General features: G+C 56.4%; 2 protein-coding genes across 7 annotated transcripts in view, besides 10 other annotated features; one reads left to right on the top strand and one right to left on the bottom strand.

The window, feature by feature from the left end:
- The window catches only part of HHIPL1 (HHIP like 1), a 76,032-nt gene extending 68,856 nt beyond the window's left edge, over positions 1-7,176 (bottom strand). For all 3 annotated transcript variants that reach the window (XM_011537236.3, XM_006720277.4, NM_001329411.2), the window contains exon 1: positions 7,099-7,176. The gene's annotated coding sequence lies outside the window, so the exon portion shown is untranslated. The remainder of the gene's footprint in view (positions 1-7,098) is intronic.
- Positions 4,948-5,242: an enhancer, noted in NCBI's record as "tiled region #4550; K562 Activating DNase matched - State 5:Enh". NCBI's record gives its function as "activates a minimal TATA promoter and a strong SV40 promoter by Sharpr-MPRA in K562 cells {active_cell/tissue: K562}" and the evidence as "EXISTENCE:reporter gene assay evidence [ECO:0000049][PMID:27701403]".
- Positions 6,303-6,452: a silencer, noted in NCBI's record as "silent region_6067". NCBI's record gives its function as "represses an Ori minimal core promoter by ATAC-STARR-seq in GM12878 lymphoblastoid cells {active_cell/tissue: GM12878}" and the evidence as "EXISTENCE:reporter gene assay evidence [ECO:0000049][PMID:35858748]".
- Positions 6,633-6,702: a silencer, noted in NCBI's record as "silent region_6066". NCBI's record gives its function as "represses an Ori minimal core promoter by ATAC-STARR-seq in GM12878 lymphoblastoid cells {active_cell/tissue: GM12878}" and the evidence as "EXISTENCE:reporter gene assay evidence [ECO:0000049][PMID:35858748]".
- Positions 6,763-6,902: a silencer, noted in NCBI's record as "silent region_6065". NCBI's record gives its function as "represses an Ori minimal core promoter by ATAC-STARR-seq in GM12878 lymphoblastoid cells {active_cell/tissue: GM12878}" and the evidence as "EXISTENCE:reporter gene assay evidence [ECO:0000049][PMID:35858748]".
- Positions 7,043-7,572: a silencer, noted in NCBI's record as "silent region_6064". NCBI's record gives its function as "represses an Ori minimal core promoter by ATAC-STARR-seq in GM12878 lymphoblastoid cells {active_cell/tissue: GM12878}" and the evidence as "EXISTENCE:reporter gene assay evidence [ECO:0000049][PMID:35858748]".
- The window catches only part of CCDC85C (coiled-coil domain containing 85C), a 104,018-nt gene continuing 90,332 nt past the window's right edge, over positions 7,507-21,192 (top strand). For all 4 annotated transcript variants that reach the window (NM_001144995.2, XM_047431328.1, XM_011536706.3 and 1 more), the window contains exon 1: positions 7,507-8,547. In NM_001144995.2, the coding sequence (NP_001138467.1) occupies positions 7,755-8,547 (793 nt within the window). In that variant the 5' untranslated portion in view covers positions 7,507-7,754. The remainder of the gene's footprint in view (positions 8,548-21,192) is intronic.
- Positions 7,833-7,952: an enhancer, noted in NCBI's record as "active region_9004". NCBI's record gives its function as "activates an Ori minimal core promoter by ATAC-STARR-seq in GM12878 lymphoblastoid cells {active_cell/tissue: GM12878}" and the evidence as "EXISTENCE:reporter gene assay evidence [ECO:0000049][PMID:35858748]".
- Positions 8,659-9,312: an enhancer, noted in NCBI's record as "H3K4me1 hESC enhancer chr14:100068739-100069392 (GRCh37/hg19 assembly coordinates)". NCBI's record gives its function as "activates a minimal SCP1, AML or CMV promoter by ChIP-STARR-seq in naive H9 embryonic stem cells {active_cell/tissue: H9 hESC(naive)}" and the evidence as "EXISTENCE:reporter gene assay evidence [ECO:0000049][PMID:30033119]".
- Positions 12,844-13,726: an enhancer, noted in NCBI's record as "H3K4me1 hESC enhancer chr14:100064325-100065207 (GRCh37/hg19 assembly coordinates)". NCBI's record gives its function as "activates a minimal SCP1, AML or CMV promoter by ChIP-STARR-seq in naive H9 embryonic stem cells {active_cell/tissue: H9 hESC(naive)}" and the evidence as "EXISTENCE:reporter gene assay evidence [ECO:0000049][PMID:30033119]".
- Positions 13,296-13,496: a silencer, noted in NCBI's record as "peak2248 fragment used in MPRA reporter construct". NCBI's record gives its function as "represses an SCP1 promoter by STARR-seq MPRAs in K562 erythroleukemia cells {active_cell/tissue: K562}" and the evidence as "EXISTENCE:reporter gene assay evidence [ECO:0000049][PMID:32103011]".
- Positions 20,291-20,887: an enhancer, noted in NCBI's record as "H3K27ac-H3K4me1 hESC enhancer chr14:100057164-100057760 (GRCh37/hg19 assembly coordinates)". NCBI's record gives its function as "activates a minimal SCP1, AML or CMV promoter by ChIP-STARR-seq in primed H9 embryonic stem cells {active_cell/tissue: H9 hESC(primed)}" and the evidence as "EXISTENCE:reporter gene assay evidence [ECO:0000049][PMID:30033119]".

Here is a 21,192-nt window from a genome sequence, read left to right as displayed (position 1 = left end):
GCTCCCACCTGAAATCCCAACACTTTAGGAGGCTGAGGCAGGAGGATCACTTGAGGCCAGAAGTTCAAGATCAGCCTGGGCAACATAGTGAGAACCAATCTTTCTTTAAAAAAAAAAAAAAAAAAAAAGGCCAGGCACGGTGGCTCACATTTTTAATCCCAGGATTTTGGGAGGCCAAGGTGGGTGGATCACCTGAGGTCAGGAGTTCGAGACCAGCCTGACCAACATGGTGAAACCCTGTCTTTACTAAAAATTACCTGGGCGTGGTGGTGGATGCCTGTAATCTCAGCTACTCAGAAGGCTGAGGCAGGGGAATCACTTGAACCCAGGAGGTGGAGGTTGCAGTGAGCCGAGATAGTGCTATTGCACTCCAGCCTGGGTGACAGAGTGAGACTCCATCTCAAAAAAAAAAAAAAAAAATTACAGGTGGTGAGAGCCTGTAGTCCAAGCTACTCAGGAGGCTGAGGCAGGAGGATCACTTGAGTGAGTCTGGGAGGTTAAGGCTGCAGTCAGCCATGACTGAACCATTGCACTCTGGCCTGGGTGACAGAGTCTCAAATGAACAAACAAACAAAACTAGAAACAAATGTCTTCAACAGGAGAAAAGTAAAGGTAATATATGCATGCAATGGATCTAAGATAGCAGTAGTTCTTAGCCAAGGGCAATTCGGCAATGTATGAAAATATTTTTAGTTTTTAAAGTGGGGGACAGGGGTACTACTTCCGTCAAATGGGTGGAGGCCAGGGTTGCTGGTGAATGTCCTACAATGCACACAGTAGCCCCTCACAACCACGCTGAGGTTGAGTAACCTTGCTATATGGCTATGAAAATGAATGAACTACAGCTACATGTACCAACATAATGAGGGCAGAAGCACGCTGCAAATGAACACATGAAGGACCATGCCATGAAAGAGTTCAAAAGCATGCAAAATCAAACACTATTTTTTTTTGAGGTGGAGTCTTGCTCTGTTGTCTAGGCTAGAGTGCAGTGGCATGATCTCTGCTCACTGCAACCTCTGCCTCCCGGGTTCAAGCGATTCTCCTGCCTCAGCCTCCTGAATAGCTAGGATTACAGGCACCTGCCACCACACCTGGCTAATTTTTGTATTTTCACTGGAGATGGGGGTTTTGTCATGTTAGCCAGGCTGGTCTCGAACTCCGGGCCTCAAGTGATCCACCTGCCTTGGCCTCCCAAAGTGCTGGGATTACAGGTGTGAGCCACCGTGCCTGGTCTAAACACTATCTTATAAGGGAGAAATATGGTAAGCTGAAAGCACAGGAATAACCAACACAACACTGAGATTCCCAGATACCCTTGGGTCGGGGAAGGCTGGGACCTGTGACCAGGAGGGGCTGCAGGAGCATCAAAAGCAGAAGTGGTAATACTTTAGTCTGGGTGGTGGGCTCCCAGGCATATGCTTCTCAGTGTTCTTTGTAATATGAACCAGTTCACCATAAGAATAATATTAAGTGCATTGAGGCAATAGCCAGCTCTGCAAAGAACTCCCCTGACTCAGTTTCCCCAGTATGTTGAGCCTCCCTCTTGTCTTGTTCCATCAGGCGATGGTGTGAGGAGATGTCAGCAGCTAAAGGGGCAGGCGGAGAATTTCCATGGCTCTGGCTGGGAAGTCATGGAAAGGGAGGGGTCAGATGCTGACAGCCCCCATCAATCTCTTTATTTCCATCACACTTGGCTCTGGCTCTGGCCTGCCTGGCCTCAAAGCCTTCTCACTGTCTGCTAGTCTCAGTGATCTCCCCTCAAACCTCCTGTTGAGTGCTTTCTAATCACACACAAGTCTGGCCAGATCTCTCCTCTGCTCTAAGCCTTTCTGTGGCTCCCCACTGCCATCAGGTTATACTTGAGGCTTTTTGTCAACATGTGAGGCCCTTTGGGCTTCAGCTGCACCCTTGCCTTGCAACATCAGCGGTTCTAGGCAGCCGTCCTGTGCAGTGCGGACTTCCTGAGCTCCAGAAAGGTGCCTGGCACGATGGTTAACAGTGGGGATGAAGGAACCCATCCTCCCCTAGCCCTCTCACTGCTGCCCCTGGCGGTCCAGCATGTAGGGAAACTGGCAGTCCCAGCTTCATGCGGTTTCCCCACCTATAAATGTGGGAGTTGAGACACATGACCTCGGAACTCTGTGTTCTTGAGGATCCCCATATTCTGGGCTGGCCCCACCCCAAAAGGAAGAAGGTGGCAGCCCAGGGCCATACCCAGAATCCTTTGTAGCCCAGTCTGCCAGGGGCAAGCATGGGGTTTCCTGGACAATCCTTGTTTCACTGGACCTCAGTGTTTGCCTCTGGAAAATGGGTAGAAATATCCTCATGGGAAGATAGTCCTGGTGCAGAGGATGGGAAAGGAAGCGTGGCTCCCCTCCCCAGAGCTTTGCAAGAGCTCTGCCAAGTGCTTAACACTAGCTCTGTCAGGGAGGGCTTGGATGAGAATACTGGGGCTCTGAGAGGACAAGGGACTGGTCTAGGGTCACCCACCCAGACAGTGATAGAGTTGCAGGGAGACTGAGCTAATGACATGCAGTGTTCTATCAGTAGAAATAGCTGGAGAGCTCTGACCACAGGTGCCATCCAGAGGCGTCAGAGCCACTGAGGCTTGGTCACAACATGGAAAAGCCTGAAGCAGGAGGAAGTGGGTGGTGAACATGGGTCCAGGCACCTTGCAGACACTCAGCATCACAGAACCAGAGTCACAGCAGAAGAGACATCGCAGAGCATCCACCCCATTCCTCCTTCTTGAGAAGGGAAACTGAGGTGTGGGAGACAGTAGTCTATGGGGTCAGATACACTCTGGAGCTCAGATGGTCCTGGGTTCAAATCCTGGTTCAGCCACTTGCTAGCCATGTGACCTTGGGCAAGTGACTTAACCTGTGTGAGCCTCAGTTTCTTACTCTGTAAAATGGGAACAGAGGGTTCTTACCGCATCAGTGAGGAGTCAGTGAGACAATCTATGTGGAACTCTAGCACAGTGCTGGGTACCTAGAAAGTGCCCAGTCAACATTGTCCATATTAGTAACACTTAACCACTTTTCAGTGGACCCTGACTTCTTGCTGCTGGTAGCCTTTCAGGATGATACCTCATAGTCTGGCCCAGACCTGGTCAGCCACCATTGCCTCACTGTCCTGAAGAAGATTCAGCTACCACCAAACACTTTGTTGGCCATACCAGAGTCCTTGGGTGTCCACAAGCCTCTGAACACTGCCTGTAAGTTCACGCCCAATGAGCTGAGCTTCTTGGAGGCAAACAACCAGCCAATAAGAACCCATGTTCAATCCTCGAAGGGCTAATGACACCTCCTCATAGGTTTATTATAACCCTCAAAAGAGGACAGGTTAGAATCATTGGCATATACTGAGTCTAGGATAAGCGGCAGGTGGTGTTGGTTATTGTCATTGTCATTGCCATTATTATTAGATATCAGAGCTCCCAGGGAAAGGGTCCAGCTTCCTTCTGAGGCTTACAAAGCCCTCCTCTGCCCAGCTCCATCGCTCAACCTCTTCCCGACTTTCCCCACCCTGCTGTTCCCTTCTGTATACCCCAGCTGCAAGGTGTAATAGTGTCTCTCCACACCCCTCGCCTGCTCACCTCTGGGCCTTTGCTTGTACTGCTTCCTCCACCTGGAGCCTCCTCCCCACTCCACAAGACGACAAACTCCTTCAAGATTCACCTCCTCTAGGAAGCCACTCCCAGTGCCTGAGCATGCTCCCACAATGATGTGTTCTGCCCATTCTCATTTGCAGTACTTACCACAATGCATTGCAATGTGTATATATATATTCCCATTTAAATGTGTTTGTGTATAAATGCATATATACTCATAGATTTCCTCTATGTTCAGTGAGCTAATGAATGAAAGTGACCTTGGGCCAGGCATCTCCCTTCTGGGGCTCTGTTTTTCCTCACCTTCAAAATGAAGCCTCAGACTCAATCTGTCACGTACTGAGAGGTTTGACATTCACTCAGCAAACACCAAATGGTACTGCCTCTGGGGTTGGAGCTCACAGCCCCAACCATAGAGAAGAGTAAGAAAGTCCATTCCCCCTGAAAGTGAGGGGCACACTCTGCTTGTCACCAGCTTGTACCAGTACTCCCCCCACAGGCCCTAGGTTTTGGAGTATTTTGTCTACCATGTATTAGCATCTACCGTGTGTTAGCGTACCGGTTCTCAGCCCCTGCTGGCTCTCACAAATGTGTGTGGCTCTAAATGAACACACACATCCTGGGAGAGTCTTTAAAAAAAGGGGGGTAGAATGTTGGTGGGGCACCTTTATTTTGAAAAGACTCACAGCTACTTTCCCTGGGCACCTACAGTATGACTGTTAGTGCACCATGATTTGGTTTCACTGTTTTCATAACAAAGCAGAGTTGTCATGACCAAGGGGCTTAAGAAGCAAAGTCACTGAGGCAGGAGAATTGGATTGCTTGAGCACAGGAGTTTGAGACCAGCCTGGGAAACACAGTGAGACTCTGTCTCTATGGGGGAAAAAAGAAAAGAAAAGAAAATAGCCAGGCATGGTGGTGCCTGTGGTCCCAGCTACTCAGGAGGCTGAGGTGGGAGGATCTCTTGAGCCCGGAGGTTGAGGCTGCACTGAGCCAAGATCATGCCACTGCACTCCAGCCTGGGAGACAGAGTGAGACCCTGTCTTAGCCAAAAAAAAAAAAAAAAAAAAAAAAAAGGCAAAGTCACGTTGACATTTTGGGATCCTGGTTCTGTTGGGCTGTGAGTACTCCAGGGGGCATGGCACCTACTGCTGGACCCTGCGATATGGGCCCTCCGGGAGGGGGCTCTGGCCTGGGGAGTCCCTTTTCCTTCAGGACGCTGTTTCAGCCCTGGGCCCTCTCACCTCCTCTGGTCCTGTCCTGTTCTGCCCAAGCATTCCCAGCCCTGGTGTGGGGAGCAGAGAGACCCTCCCTCAAACCACCCAGTACCACCACCACTAGCACCTTGTCTTTGTTCTACCCTGAGGATGTGAGCAAAGCTATCAAGACTCCACAGAGGAACTCTTGGTCCTTGGTCCACACAGCCTGTAGATGACGCAAACAAACCCCACCTAGATAGAGGCTTCACTTTCTTCTTGGAAGTTCAGCGGAAGCTGCCAGCTCTGGAGGATCAGGGGGCAGAGATAACAGGCCCCAGGAACCACCAGGAGCCATGCACGAACGGGGAGGGGGTTCTCACAAAGCACAGTGCTGTCTCAGCAACTTCCCTGGTGAGCTGGTGGGTTTTTCCTATGGTGTATCCAACGTTTACGCTTCGATCTCCAGGGAGCAACTCTGTGCACAGGCTTCATTCTGCAGGGAGCCTGCAAGGAGCTCCTTGAAGTTAATATGGCTTCCTGGGGGTTGAGACAGACCTGCAGCTCCCCCAGGCAGAAGCTGAAAGCCCCTCCCTCTCTAAACCCAAACTGAGCTGTGCTGGACCAGCAGAGCAGTGCCTCAGAGGGGAGGATGTCCCCTCCCCTCAGGAGCTGGTTCTCTTGGGCAGGGCCTGGGAGACCCTCAGCATCCCTGGGGTTTAACCTTGGAAGCTGTGCTCAGCCCATCCTCTCCCCACCACCCTCCCCTGACCATCTGTCTGGAGAGAGTGGCGAACGGGTGGGAGATGAGATATTGAATCTGGACCTCTCTGTGTACTCCCCTCCATCTCTTCTCAACATGTGGGCCAGGGTGAGCCTCTTAAAAAGGTAAACCAGGTCATGTTGCTTCCCTGCTAAAACCCCACTGCCTCCCCAGCTGTCTTGGAATCATACATGATCTGGCCCCTCTGACCTCTGACCTCAGCTCTCACGCCTCTTCCCTGGCCCACCCCCAGCCCCACTGGCCTTCTTGGAACAGGTCTGTAACAGGCCAGCCCTAGGGCCTTGGCACTGGCTGTTCCTGCTGCCTGGAATGCCCTTCCCCTTATCTTTGTACCTTGCCAATCAGACTTCAGCTTAGATGTGCCTCCCCACCTCCCTGACCGCTGGATCTAAAGCAACTGATTATGCTTTCTATGACAGCAGCTCGACTTAATGCCCCGCACAGCACTTAAGACAAGTCTCATCCTGATCTAGCTCGTCTATCTTCTCCCCATCCTGCTCCCAGGACGCCAAGTCCCCCGCAGAGGGCAGTTCGGTGCCCTGCAGAATCCCCCGGGGCTGGAGCAGGCCCCGCGGCGAGTAGGCGCTGAGTACACAGCTGAATGAACGGCTTAGCAACTGTAAATGGGGCATCAGCTGCTGCGCGGGCGCGCGCTCCAGGCCGTGGGCCGCTCACTGTCGCGTGCGCGGATTTGATCTCGTTGCAGGTTCCGGGGGAGGGACCCCCCCCCGCCCCGCCCCGCCCCGCCTGCTGGCGGTAGACGCGCCGTAAATGCGCTTTGGGGACCGGAGGATAACGAGACAGACTTACAGGCAGTGGGAAGCCCGGGGGTCCCGCGAGGCCGCCGGTGGGGAGTTCTGTGGCCGGCTCGGCGCCCCCGGACCCCGGCGTTCAGGCCCCAGTGGGAGACCTTCCCACCCTTCCCAGTGGTTTCCACCCCGCGAATTGCAGATTATCTCCCGAATCCCAGGGATTTAGCGGTCGAGTGAGCGGAGGTGGAGCGGGGCTCCGAGCGCCGCTCCGGGCAGGGGGCAGGTTCCCGGAGCTCTCGCCCCATCGGGGCAGAGAGTACTGACCGCGCTGCGGGACGCGGCTGGCAAGGCCCTGGCCCTGCAGGGGCGCGGACGCCAGCGTTTAGCTCAGCCCTGGGCTAGGAGTGGAGACGCAGCCCCGCCGCGTGCTCCGGCAGGGGACCCGGGTGGGGACGGGGGCGGAGGAGCCTGGGGGCAGGGAAGGGGACAAAGAGCCGCCCTGCTGCGGGGAAGAGCGACCCCCATGTCACAGTCCTATTGTTCGCTGTGTCTCCGACTGCCCTGAACTCTGGTGCCCCCGGGAGGGAGAAGGGGCGCCGTCGCCCGGATCGTGGGTATTTGTTTATCTGGGGAGAGGGAAGAGGACCGGGGACGCGGGCCGGGGAGGGGGCTCGACTGCTATTTTCGCGCGTCGCCTTTAAGGGAAGCCCGGCCCTACCTTTCCCACCGTCCCCCTCCCCGCAGCCGTACCTGCATTTTAAAAGCGCCCTGTAGCCCTGGGATTGGCTAAGGCCGCGTCCTCCGGGCGCAGAAACTTGAACCGCCGGGAGCCGGCCGCGGGCGGGGGTCGGAAACCCCGCGGATGGACCGTACCACCGCCGCAGCTTCCCCCGCGCGCGCCCCGCCCCTCCCGCACACCCCCGGAGCGGCCCAATCGCCCGGCCGGGAGGGCGGGACCGCGGCCGGAACGCGCCTCTGAGAGGGCACTGGACGGGCGGGCGCACCGCGCAGGGGGACGGCGGGGGCCGCGCCTCTGCTCCCCAGTCGCCCTCGGGGGCGGGGCCGGGCCTCGGAGACCCGCCCACTCTCCGCCCGGGGTGGGCGGGGCGGCGGGGGCTCCGGGAGCTGGGCCGGGGGCGGGCCTCCGCCTGCTTCTCCAGAACCCTGAGAGCGCCCGGCACCGCGGCCGCCGACGCAGCAGCCGCCTCCGCTCGTCAACCCCGAGGCGCGCGGGCTCCCGGGCGGCCCCGGCGGGCGCGGCGAGAGGACGCGCCAGGCGGCGCGGGGCGGGCCGCACGCGCCCCCGGCCGCCCCCCGCCCGCGCGCGGACCGGCCCAGCGGAGCCCCGGCGCGGGGAAGCGCCGGCCGGGCGAGGGCGAGGGCGATGCCGCGGTGACGGCCCCGCCATGGCTAAGCCCGCGGCGACGGCGGCGGCGGCGTCGGAGGAGCTGAGCCAGGTGCCGGACGAGGAGCTGCTGCGCTGGAGCAAGGAGGAGCTGGCGCGGCGGCTGCGGCGCGCCGAGGGCGAGAAGGTGGGCCTCATGCTGGAGCACGGCGGCCTGATGCGCGACGTGAACCGGCGGCTGCAGCAGCACCTGCTGGAGATCCGCGGCCTCAAGGACGTGAACCAGCGGCTGCAGGACGACAACCAGGAGCTGCGCGAGCTCTGCTGCTTCCTCGACGACGACCGGCAGAAGGGGCGCAAGCTGGCGCGCGAGTGGCAGCGCTTCGGGCGCCACGCGGCCGGCGCCGTGTGGCACGAGGTGGCCCGCTCGCAGCAGAAGCTGCGCGAGCTCGAGGCGCGCCAGGAGGCCCTGCTGCGCGAGAACCTGGAGCTCAAGGAGCTGGTGCTGCTGCTGGACGAGGAGCGCGCGGCACTGGCGGCGACGGGGGCCGCAAGCGGTGGCGGCGGCGGCGGGGGCGGCGCCGGCTCCCGCAGCTCCATCGACAGCCAGGCCAGCCTGAGCGGGCCGCTGTCGGGTGGCGCGCCCGGCGCGGGGGCCCGCGACGTGGGCGACGGCAGCAGTACGTCCAGCGCGGGCAGCGGCGGCAGCCCCGACCACCACCACCACGTCCCACCCCCGCTGCTGCCCCCCGGGCCGCACAAGGCCCCCGACGGCAAGGCAGGAGCCACACGTCGGTCCCTGGACGACTTGTCGGCGCCGCCGCACCACCGCAGCATCCCCAACGGCCTGCACGGTAAGGACTACACGGGCCGGGCAGCGCGGGTCTCCCTGGCTGCAGCCCTTTTCCCAGGCTGCGGCGAGAGGAGGTGGTCCCTGGCTGTCCCACTCATGCGGCCGCCACTCCAGACTCCTCCAGCTGTCATGGATCCTGGGCCAGGGGATCCCGCACTCACCCAAAGTGGGGCTTTGGGCGGTGGTGGGCCGGTTCAGTGGTGGAGCGTCTTTTTGTCCAGCTCAGAACCTGCTGCCGGTCCGGTCCCAGAAAAGTTTCTAGCGGGTGTAGTTGCCAAAATTAGGGTCTGTCACTGCTGGGCTGGCGGTGGGCGCCTCATCCCAGCCTTGGAAATCCTTGCCTAGTAGCGGGAAGTTCTAAACAGCAAAGGATACAAGGCCCCTTGAGCGCAAGTGAATTTCCCCTCTTGCAGCAACAGGTGTCCTCCAAACCAAGCAGCGTCCACGTGTGTGCGGTGGCTGGAGTTCTGCAGTGGGGTGTGGGGATTGGGAAGGTGCACAGGCAGCCGCTTGAGACCCAGAGGCAGTTGGGGAGAGGCCTGGGGCTCAGAGCCTTTCTTGTTTGCCATAAATTCCGCCCTTCTAGTCCTGGGACCTTTCTCAGCCGAGACTCTAAGACTTTCCCGAGGGAGATGTATTTGGAACGGATTCTAGCTTTTCTCCTCTGTGTGCCTCAGTTTCTTTGTCTGTGAAATGGAGATGATGACCTCTGCCTCGTGGGTTTGAGGTGGAGATAAACCTTCTGAAGGGATTTATAAACTGTTGATCGCCTTACAGGAAGTGCCGTGGTCATCCGTGACCAGGGTGTGGGTGGGAGGAACTTTGGCCTCTGTCAGCTTCTGTCTTCTACGCCCATGTTACTGCTGCGCCCAGTGCAGAGGGTGGCCCCAGCTTGGGGCTGTGGGAGCTTGCAGCCTGCTCCCTCTCCCAGCCCCCTGCTCAGCCCTTCTGCTCCCTGCCAGCTTTCTCCTCCTCGCTGGTGGATCCGGGGCCTCCCTGTTCTTCCACGTTTTTTGGTAGCTTGGCTTCCAGTTCTGCTGGTAGTTGCAACTGCCTGAACTTTTTGCCTGAAGGTGGAGAATGAACAGCTCTTTCTGGTTCCCTTTAAAGCCTTTCCTAATTCAGAGAAAGTGTGTCTAAGCCTGCAATAACTGCCCTCCCCAGAACCCCTCAGCCTGAGCTGGGGAGGGACGTTTTCTCCTTAGTTTGGTGGCCAAGTGGCCTCTGCAGACGTGTTGGGGTGGGGGCTGGGGTGGGAGACATACCCATGGAGGTGGGGCAGGGGCAGTGCAGCATGTTTTTCCTTTATTTACCATCCTGAGCCTGTGGGTTCAAGGCAGGACTGGGTTTAGAGGGATATTTTGTTACTGATTAGCAATCTATGGCTACAACTCAGGTTTCTCTTTGTAACACTGTATCCACCCCCACCTCCCACCACAGGCTGCTTCAGGGCAGTGGGAGTAGCGCAAAGTTAGGTGGTTTAATTTGCTGGGGCTGTTCAGAGCACCTCAGCCCCTTTGATTTTGCCGTCCTGGGGGCTTTTGAGGGGTCAGTTATCTGGGCCTCGGTTTCCCTAAGTGCAGTCCAAAGAGCAGATTGCTGCAGTCTCGTGGCTGGAAAGTGAAATGTTTCTGGTTTTCAGCTGCGTCATCAATGACACTTGGCAAGAGTGCCTCTCTGCAGGACACTGGAGGGCTGGAGTGTTTAGAGCATACTTGCAGGAAAGGCTCTGTCGAGTTTTGGGCAAGGAGATGCGGCCCCAGTCTGGCTCAGCATGTCAGCTGCGACAGTGAATAATACAGGAGTGGAGGACTAGGCTACACTGAGTTTTCCACCCCACTGGGGGTCAGTGGGAGGTTGAAGTATAGGGTTTCCCACAGAACCCATCCTCCCCCAAGCCCACTTAGCACAGGACTGCTGCAAATGTTGTGGCAGCAAACCTTGCTTTGGGGTGAAATGAAAATTCAGCATTATTATTACAAATTTCGGTTACAGATGGAATTATTATTATTTAGTTTTGTCTCTTAAAGCCATGTGTGGCCTTGGGATGTGGTCCCACTAATGTAAATGGAAGGCTTGGAAACCAGGAAAGGCCCTTCTCTTAGAAACTGAGCTGTTCTTTCTTTCTTTTTTCCCTTTTTTCGAGACAGGGTGTCACTCTGTCACCCAGGCTAGAGTGCAATGGAACACTCATGGCTCACTACAGCCTCAACCTCCCAGGCTTAAGTGATCCTCCCAGCTCAGCCTCCCAAGTAGCTGTGATTAGAGCCATGAGCCACCTCACCTGGTGAAACTGGGCTTTTCTATTCTGGGACTTGTAACTTTAAATTGAGCAAAGATTGGGCCTGAGCTGAGGGAGATAATGAGTCTCTGTCTGGGTGGTGTCTAAAGTGGGGTCAGACACCAGGCTTGCGCCTTATGTGTTTGGTCTTTGCTTCTTCTCACAGGAACCCTGGGGAAGCAGTATTATCCCCATTTGACAGACAAGCAAGTGGAGGCTTAGAGGGGTTCCTAGCCTTGTCTGGGAAGGTGGCTGACATTGGAAGTACCTGTCCTGGGTGGGTTTGCTGCCATGATCATCTCGTGTTCAGGCCTTGGGTCTGAATCTGTTGTGCCCTTGGTCTGTTGTCATGTTTGCTGTTACTGTTAATCAGGGGACACTGGTGACTCCCTATTCTTGATTCCTGACCCAGGTTTGCCCTCTTTCTCCCATGCTGGGAAGTGTCACTTCCTTATCAGTGACCATTGAGCAGATGGCTGATAACCCCGTTACCCAGAGGCTCAGGGTGACTTGAGTTTGAATCTCAGCTCCTCCATGTATACTGGGCAAGTTATTAACTGGCCAAGCCTCTCTGTGCTCCTCTTCTGTAAGATGGACAGAACCCAGAGTGCCCCATTATTCACACAAGGTTGAGTGAGGTCAGGATCTACACACAGTAGGTTTCTCCTGTTGTTAGGGTCCTTGGGGCTCTCCCAACAGACCTCAGTTTCCTCTTCAAAAGTGCTTGCTGCTTAGACAGCTCACCTGAATGTTTGCATCTGAGCCTCTTGTGTGGCAGCACTTGCTGATGAGCTAGTGAGGACAGTGGCCCTGCTGTCCTTTCTGGGGAGCTGGTGGCAGTTGCAGCCCTGCTGGGTGCCCTGGGCAGACTCTAGTGGCTGAGGTGGGAGGTGGCCCATCTGTATGCAAGGCAGCCCTGGCTGAGGCTGGCCTGGTGGGCCTGTGTATTGTGTATGTACATGCAAATAGGCTTTTCTCCTTGGCTGCTTATTTATTTATTTATTATTTATTTAGAGACAGGGTCTCTCTGGTCACCCAGGCTAGAGTGCAATGGCACCATCATGGCTCGCGGCAACCTCAACCTCCTGGGCTCAAGTAATCCTCTTGCCTCGGCCTCCTGGGATGTGTGCTACCATGCCCAGATAATTTTTGAATTTTTTGTAGAGACTGGATCTCACTATGTTGCCCAGGCTGGTCTCGAACACCTGGGTTCAAGCAGTCCTCCTGCCTTGGCCTCCCAAAGTGTTGGGATTACAGACGTGAGCCACTGCACCTGGCCTTGGCTGCCTTTGGTAGAGGTCTGGTCTGGGCTGACTGGACTTGGGACTGGGCTGTGCGTTGCTCTAGTCCAGTGTGGCACACTGAGACAGGTAAACCCCAACACCAGAAAGTCAGGTTCTCCTTCATGAACTGATAGGATTTTCAAACAAAAGAATTTTCAGTTCTTTTTCCAGCTGCCCCTCCGCCTGTCTCCTGTGCCCCACGACAGGCACCATGCCCCCCTCCTGCCCATTGCCAGGCATTTCCTTCCCTCCCCTGATAACCTGCTCCTCCACGGTCCACTCCCCTTTAGCCAACCTGGAGGAACTAGGATTCTAGCAAGCCTGTGCATGAGCCCCATTTACTTTTTAAAGTTCGGATTAAAATTTTGAGCTTCTCAAAATGAGACAGGTTTGTTCTCCTGCTTGTGTTTTTGTTGGTTTAAGAGGGAGGATGGAACGGGGTGGTCTGGGCCTTTAGAAAAAGACAGAGCACGCTAACTCTGAATAGGTCTTTTCTGTGCAGCAGCTCGGCTAATAAGGCTGCTTTTCCTAAACCCAGCCAAGCTCAGGAACAAAGGTCAGTGAAGACAATGGGGTGGGTTAGATAAGCCTTTCCCCCTCCTTCCCCAGCCTGTCCCAAGGGATCCATCAATGGCCTTGGGATGCTGGGCCTCAGAAAGGAGGGCTGGCCTTGAGAGGCTCCCAGGCAGGTGACCCAGGGGTGGGTAAACTGTGCCCAGTGCTTCACAGTTTGCCACAAACAGCATCCCAGTCCCAATTCCATTCTGTTCAGAGCTTCCAAATGGTCCCAGGAGGGAGACCTTAGCATCTCCATATCTTAGATGGGGAAATCAGGGCTTGGAGTGGTGGTGCGGTGACTTGCTCTAGGTCCTGTGGGGCTGATTGGGGGGCCTGGGATGCGTCTTGGGTCTCCTGTGTCAGAATTCTGAGCCCATGGCCCTGTGCCTGCTGCCCAGAGAGTTCCAGGGGAGCGGTGACCTCTGCCACAGAGACAGGGCACCTCCTCCCAGGATGCCAGGCCCGGGGCCTCATTCCTGTCTCCCTGTGTCCTGGCATGGAGGAGTGGGGGAAGGCGGTGCAGGGTGGGCCACCTTCCCTACGATGGCTGTGGCTCCCCATCTCTTGGTTTCTCCTTCCCTCACTTCTCTGCACGAGGCTGGCTTGCCACCGCAGCAGTCGCCCCACCAGACCTCTTGCTCAGGCCTGGCCTCTGAGTTCCCAGGACCAGCACGTGATACAGAAGGAAATCAGTGGTTGCTCCTAATCTGTTTTCCGCCGGTGGGGATTTTCCAATCCATGCTTGTTGCCTTCATTTGCGCAGAGAATTGGAAGTCTGTTAAGCAAGTTCCTGAGCCTCCATGGGCCTCTGTTTTCTCTTTTGCCAAGTGGGAAAATGTTACTAACCTTTGGGTTGAGGGAGGAGGGTGTGTAGTGAGTGATACGTGTAGCCTCTGGCGGGTGGCAGCCCCTGATGTGCGAAGGCCCCATCTCCCGCTGCAGCGCTCGGCACCCCGCATGCCGAGGGGCATGTAGCCCTCTGGTTAGTGATCTGCCTCCAGGGTCAGAGAGCCCTGGGTGAATCTTGGCTTTGCCACCTGCTTTATGGCCGTGGCAGCTTACTGAACCTCTAAGCCTCAGTTTCTTCATCTATATCCTGAGGCTAATAATGTCTCGATCCTAGAACTGGGCCTTAAAGGATGGGTTCCATGTCCTTTCATTATTTCCTGGCCTCTGCGGATTTGCCTTCCCTGGGTGGGAGTGGGAGATCCCCTGACACACGCTGGTACCCAGTGTAGGGTCGGAGGCAGCTGAGTCCTCATCTAGTTGAATGGAGGGAGCCAGCATTCCAGGCAGGAATAAGAATGGCTAAGGTTTGGAAGTGGGGTCTGGAGCATGGCATTGAGAATCCGGGGCCTGCAAGGTGGACCCAGGATGTGTGTGGGGAGATAACTCTTAGGGGGGTTAGTGCTGTGGGCAGCCCCACAGGGCAGACCCCAAAGTCCCAGCTTTTCAGACTTCAGTGCCCACAAGCAAGAGTGGCCCAGGTGGCCTGTGTTGCCTCCAGGGCTGGGGAGCGCTGTGTCAGGGGAGGTTGCGTGGACACTGAGAAGGGGCATTCCTGAATCCACTGAGGATGGGGCTTGTGGACACCCCAGACAGCTCTGGGAATCTGGTTGAGATGTGGGTTCTAAGACACGCCCCACATTACAACTGGGAAGGGAAAATGCCCAGCTTTGAATGTGTGTGTTCAATCCAATCTGGTTGAACCCAGAGCCAGGTGGGAAGCGGGACTTGACCTCACAGGTGGTAATTTGCTCTTCAGGAGGAAGGGAAGCGTCTGCGGACTTCACTGAGCATTTACTGCCTCTGAGGTCTGAGTGCCTCCTGAGCAGTGATTCTTGGAGTCTGGCTTGGGGGGTGGTGGTTCTGGAGCATCACTCTGGTGACCACTGTGGTGTGGGCTGGGCTGGGGGAGCAGTGGGTGGAAGCTGAGGGCTTCCATCGGGAGGAGGTTCTGGCCAGGAGAGTGGCCACAGGAGAGAGCCTTCTGTAGGTTCCAGACCTGGTGAGTCTGCTCCAAAGTCCTGCTCTCAGCTGCTATCTGCCTTCTCATGACCTCTGTCCTCTAGGGCAGGCGTCCTGAGCTCTTGGGTGGGGCTCAGGCAGGACAGCGCCTGTGGGAGATGCTGCCGCTCCCAGGTGGCTGCTGTGCCCTCCATCCCCAGCGCTGATGCTGCTCCCCGCTACTCCCATCCCTACATCTAGGGTGGTTGGGATCAGCGTCTGGGATCTAGGCAGGGACCACTCTGGGGTTCAGAATTCTCATCTCCCTGCTACATAACAACAAGAGACTCTATTGGCATCCCCAAAGGCTTGGGGATAGAGGAACAAACTTGTCTGCTAAAGGGACTTGATGCTTCTTTGATCATAACATGTCAGAAATGGTCCCCCTCCCCTAGGCAAGCACCCAGGATTGGACACTCATACATCCCCTGTCCTCACAGGCAGAGGGTTCTGGGCAGGCCTGGAGCCGGGTCAGCCGGGGATGGGTGCCTGTTCTTCAGCAGGTCACCGCTGACCTCCAGCTCTTGAGGGGAGCAGAGCAGAAAGATCAGGATTGTATTGACTGCCTGTAAGTGTTCTTGGGTTTGCCTTATGTGTACTGTTCAAACAGAGGCGTGGAGCATGTTTAACTACAGTAGATGGCCCTGGGGAGGAAGCGAGGGTCTGATTCCCTTTCCTTCTTCCTGATTCCTCAACGGCAGAGACATTCTGCCATTTCCTCAGTTCAAAGCTGGGCATTTTCCCTTCCCAGTTGTAATATGGGGCGTGTCTTAGAACCCATGTGGACATTTGCTGGCAGGTCTTCCCCTCTCTGCCCCTGGAAAAGCCCTTGAGTAGACTGTGTCTGCGGCTGATGGTATCTGAGAGTGGAACAAATGCCAGGCCCGGGAGAGCCGGAAACCCCTGAGCAAACTTCACAGAGTCCTAAGGCACTAAGAGACTTGAGAAAGACAGGGGCCCACCCCAGGGCCAGCCACATGGGTGCTGGAGCCCTCCCTGCCCACCTGGGGCCCTCTGTCATTACTGTCTCTTCATCTGGGAGTTTATGAGCCTGGGACTCTGGTCCTCTTGACTCCCAGCCTTGGCACAGAGTGGCAGGTTCTGAAAGTCTTTTGGATGGAACAAACGTGTGCCTGGCACTGTGCTGACAGCAACTGGGTTTTCTCTCACTCGCCTCCCACAACAGTTGCTGGTCCCCATTGGGGTCCCTGTTTCATCTAAGGAACAGGCCCAGGATGGTGAGGCAAGTTACAGCAGGGGCAGGGTGGGGCTGGGCCAGGTCAGGGACTCCCGTCCAGTTGAACCCGGAGCCTGTGCCAGCCGGTATGTCCCGGTTCCCTTGCCCTGTGGGTGTGATTATTCATCATGCCCCTTTCCCTCAAGGAAATGCCCAGGTTGGGCTCTTAACCTCTTCAGGTGTGCTGGGAGCTCAGAGGAGGGGTGGCCGAATTGGGAACTGAGATGGGCCTTGAAGATGGAGTTAGTAAAAGCAGAAGAGAGCAGGTAAGAAGAGAGACCAGGCTTCGCAGAAAGAACAGCTGAGCTGGGCGGATCACCTGAGGTCAGGAGTTCAAGACCAGCCTAGCCAACATAGTGAAACCCCATCTCTACTAAAAATACAAAAATTAACCAGGTGTGGTGGCACGCGCCTGTAATGCCAGCTATTTGGTAGGCAGGAGAATCTCTTGAACCCAGGAGGCAGAGGTTGCAGTGAGCCATCGCGCCACTGCACTCCAGCCTGGGCCACAGAGCAAGACTCATCTCAAAACAAAACAAACCAAAACCAAAACCAAACGAAACCAAAACAAAAAGAAGAGCCGAGCAAAGTCATGCGGTGGGCATTTGCCTGCACCTTGGGTTCAGCTGGGGTGATGGATGAGTGGGGACCCAGGACAAGCACTGGGGCAGTGAGCAAGGCCAGGGCCGGTGGGGTCTTTGAAGCCTCTTCTACTGTCCCTGAAGTCCCTAGGTTGGGCTTTCCTTCGGGGTGTGGGCAGTTCTAGCTCTAACCTTTTCTGATGGACTTTCCAAGAGGACCCAGAGTTACCTGTTAGAAGTCCTATTAGAAACTGGAAACTTTTTACAGCTTATCCCCATCTTTCCCCTGCTCCCCACCTGATAAATATGCAGACACATCACCTGCTGGGCCTGAGTGGCCTTGTCAGCTGACATGCTCCCTGCCTGGGGGTCTTGGAAGATTACTAGTGTTCTGTGGATTGGACGATCCAGACAGAACCAGTGGCTTCAGCCCACTTGAGACCCAACCATGTGTAAGTCTGTGCCTCTCCCTGGGCCCTCATTTTCCCATCTGTAAAATAGGAAGCTTGGATGGGCTGAGCTGAGAGTCCCAGGGACCCTCATCTCTTCTGGCCCTTTGACTCAGAGCCACAAGGAAGGGGTGGCCTCCCCTGCCCATCCTGCCTCCTATCGGTCACTCAGTGGTCCTATGAGCCAGCTCTTTTATATTCCTGGGAATTCTCTTCCTATGCCCTACAGCCTGGGTTTTATCACCTGCCTCGTGGTTGGTCCTTGCCTTGGGGCAGGTGTGGGGATGGTGAGGCTACCTGTGACCACATGGGTCCCACTGTGGGGCCTAGAGATGGTGACCTGTCTAAACGCTGTTTGAGGCTGAGACCCTGGCCCAGACCAGCCTCCCCTCCTGCAGGGCCCCAGTGGAAGTACCTGCCTCCCCTATCTGATTGCCTCTGCTTAAAGGACTCAGTAAGGGGTTTAGTGCAAGAGGAGAACACTGAGCTTCAATTCCTGGTGCAGGTTTGCTGGGGACAAGGCTGCATGTTCCTGGACTCGAGGTTCCTCTGCTTGCTGTCCTGTCTCTCTCCCAGTCCAGAATGTTGTTGCAATGCATAGTCAGTGTTGGAGGGAGGAGTGAACAGTCCCGGAAGGACTGACCAGGTGCCAGATAGTGGTTGACCCACTTTGCCCACCTGTCCTTCTTTTCTCATTTGTACACTTGGCACCGAGTTAAATAAGTTACTCCCCGCCCCCCGCCCCCACCCCCAGCAAAATCAAACCTCCCCAAGAGGGTGGTGATTTACACAACCCCACCTTCCCCATTTCCCCTGAATAATTACTAAAATATATACCTTTTGGCTTTCACCAGTGGTTCCTAATTGTGGCTGTATATTAGCTATCACTTAGAAAACTTTAAAAAATACCAGTGCCCGTGCCCAGCCCCAGAGATGGGTGCAGTTGGTCCTGGTGTCATTGGAGGCTGTGAAGGCTCTGGAGGTTCTGCTGGGTGGCCAGAGCCAGGATCCCGGAGAACAGCCATGGGCCCTTCCAGCAGGCCAGCTAGGGGCGAGGATGCGCCCACACTGGGCACCACAGAGCCTGGCTGGCCAGGGTTGGGAGACTGGTGTCAGTTCACGTTAGCAGTGAGGAGTAAACGGCCCTGCCTGTGTTGCCCCCTCGCTGACCTGTGCTGCACAGACGCCGGAGAGATGGCTTTGGCGAGGCTGTGGAATGCCATTTTGGGCCCTGGATGCACCCTGGCTTGCACCCCTACCTCCCTGCCCCAGGAGCTCGAATCAGCTGCCAGGCATCCCCATGGAGGTGGCTGCCTCCGCCACCCCACTTTCGCAGGGCTGGACAGGTGAGGCAGAGGCCTTTCTAGGCTGTTTTGAAGGGGACAGAGGCAGGCAGGGCCGGTGGCACCGAAACGGCAGCTATGGAGAAGAGTCGACCCATTTCCAAAAATAGACCATCCACTGTCAGGGGAAGCATCTCTTTGTCTTCCCAAATCTGTCTTTCCGTTGGCTCCCAGGTTGTAAGGCAAGAAGGAGGCCCGCTCTTGTCTAGGAATCAGAGGCTCCTTTGAGCGCGGTGCTCCCCCGCCCGCCACAAGGGCCCGATTGTGTGGGGCCCTGAATGCGCCCGCCTGTCACCGCGCACGGCACCGGCCCGGCTCCCTAATGAGCCCGCTCTGGGAGTGGCCCTTTGTGGCGGGTTCCGGCCACACTGCCCATGCCAAGGCTCTGTTTCCCGGCTGCTTAATATCCCTCAGCGGCTGGTGGAACAATGGGACGCTCCCCCCACCCAGCCACCCTTTCTCCAGAAAATTAAGAAGCTAGTTTCTCCCTCTTTCGGCACCTTCTGTCCTGGCTGGCAGGGGAAGGCTCCCCTCTTCTCCCCCTCGCCTTTGCCCAGCCCCTCCTGGGGGACCTCCCTCCGCTTCCGCCATTGTCTCCTTTCTCTTGTTCCTTTTGGGTCTGTCCTCTGGCTCCTTCCCCACAAACAGGCTCACGTTTCCTGGTCCAAAGCAACACAGAGCCCCTCCTGTCTACTGCTCTGCCCCTTGGCCTTCCTCCCTTTGCCAGAGGATAAACCCTAGAGGCTGAGGCCACCTCCTTCCCCATGTTTGCTCCTTGGCCCTGGGCAATCCCAAACCCTGAGAATGGTGGCTCTGGCTCTGTCCAGCAGCCTCTTCTCATCTCAACTTCCTGGTGGCATCTGATTTCCCCCTGGGATTGTCTTCCAGAATGGGGTGGTGTGCTGGTCACCTAGGACCTCTTTGAGCAACTTCCAGCACTCTCTCCAGCCCCTCCTGCCCAGAGGGAAAACATCGCCCTGGGCTGGGCTGAGCAGTCTCTCCCTACCTCTTGCTCCTGGCCTTGAGGCTCAGGTGTCCAGATTGCTGCTGGTGACTATGCTATTCACCTTGTGTCTTCTGGGTTTGGGTCCCTTCCTCTCTCCCCTGCACTCCTGCTCCCCTGCCTAACCCACGACCCCTCAGAGTCAAGGTTTCCTGGCTCTAACCCCGAGTGGTGTCCACTAGCCATATGTAGCTGCTTCAATTCACTTTCATTACAATTAAATGACATGCAGCTGTACCGACCACCCTGCCTTCGCATGGGCTAGTACCGTGCTGACAGCGAGATGGGGAAAATTCCATCATAAAGGGAATTCCGCTGGGAAGCCCTGGTCTAGACGATTCTTCCTTGGGCTTTGTGACTCCTACTTGTCCACGGAAAGAAACCTGAAAGCTGGCTGGGTGTGGTGGCTCGCGCCTGTCATTCCAGCACTTTGGGAGGCTGAGGCAAGCTGATCACCTGAGGTCAGGAGTTCGAGACCAGCCTGGCCAACATGGTGAAACCTCATCTCTACTAAAAATACAAAATTAGCTGGGCATGGTGGTACATGCCTGTAATCCCAGTTACTCGGGAGGCTGAGGCAGGAGAATCTCTTGAACTTGGGAGGTGGAGGTTGCCGTGAGCGGAGGTCATGCCACTGCACTCCAGCCTGGGTGACAGAGTGAGACTCCATTTCCAAAAAAAAAAAAAAAAAGAAAAGAAACCAAGAAACCTGACACCTGAGTATGGAGTCGGGGCTTCCTGCCACCTCCCCACCCTCCCCACCGGCTGCAGCGCTTTACCACCCTGGCCCTGGAGTTGTGGCCCCAGGACCACTTGCTGTGCAGAAGGCACATTGCAGGCCCTCAGGTGGCCCCCCCGTCCTGCCTCCTGCGCAGATTGAAATCCTGCCCTTCCTCTGAGGTGCAGGGCAGCCTTTGCAGCTGGCTGGACTACAGGATGTGGGACCTGCAGCCCTCGCGCACTCAGCATCCGTGGGAGCCGTGGGAGCCGTGGCAGCCTCCGCAGCCCCAGGCCAGGCTCTTGGAGGATGTCCTGCGGCTGTAGGTGCAAGGCCTGCCCACACAGAAGAGGCTGGTAGCCTTGAGCGGGCGCATGTGGGGGTCCACGTGTCTTGGCAGGAAACCTAAGCCCAGAGAGGGCTGCACAGCTCCAGGGGTCTCCCCGGCAGAACCCAGCCAACTGGTTCCCAGCCGCCAGCACCTTGTTCTCGAAATGAGGCCGCAAAGGCTTCAGGATCAGAAAACAAAGAACGTGGCTTTTAAACGGTGGGGTGGGGACAGATTGGACATCGGCCAGCGAGGCACCCCCTCCCTCCCAGGGAGGCTGCAGACTGCCCTGGCCTTGTCACTAGGGCTTTGAGCATCCTCCCCTCCTGTCCTCTGTGCTGCCGTCTTCCCTTGGCAGCGGCTGTGGCAGGCAGGTGCCTCTTGGGGTTAAATGAGCCGCCGTGTCCAGCTGCCGGCCATTACTCTGGCCGTCCCTGGCGGATAAGGCCATTAGCACTGCAGCTGAGGCTCTGACTCTGGGCTTGGCCCCTGCTCACTGCAGCCTTGTGGTGCTTTCCTGTCATGACTCATCGAGCCTCTGGTGTGTTGGTTGGGGGTTGGGGGGCATCAGGGTGGCATCAGTGTGATTACAGCAGCAGAGTGCACCGGGAGACTGGACCTGGGTCAGACTGACCCCAGCCCAGCTCCCAACCTGTCCCCTGCTAGGACTTGGCTGGGACACTTGCTTCCTCCATAAACAGAGGCTTCCCCTACCTTGTTGGTTGGGAAGGTCACGTGAAAGCCCCTTCTGGTTTCTTTTTTTCTTTTTTTAAGCCACTAGACCACCAGGAAGAAAGGAGACCTTTCCAAACTGCCTTATTCTGGAAATGCAATGGCAGTGTTGATGGTAGGGGGAGC

The sequence above is a fragment of the Homo sapiens genome, chromosome 14 (assembly GCF_000001405.40).
Source record: "Homo sapiens chromosome 14, GRCh38.p14 Primary Assembly".
In the NCBI taxonomy this organism is placed as follows: domain Eukaryota; kingdom Metazoa; phylum Chordata; class Mammalia; order Primates; family Hominidae; genus Homo; species Homo sapiens.
Note: the sequence above shows the minus strand (reverse complement) of the source record. Positions and strands in the feature narration are given on the sequence as shown.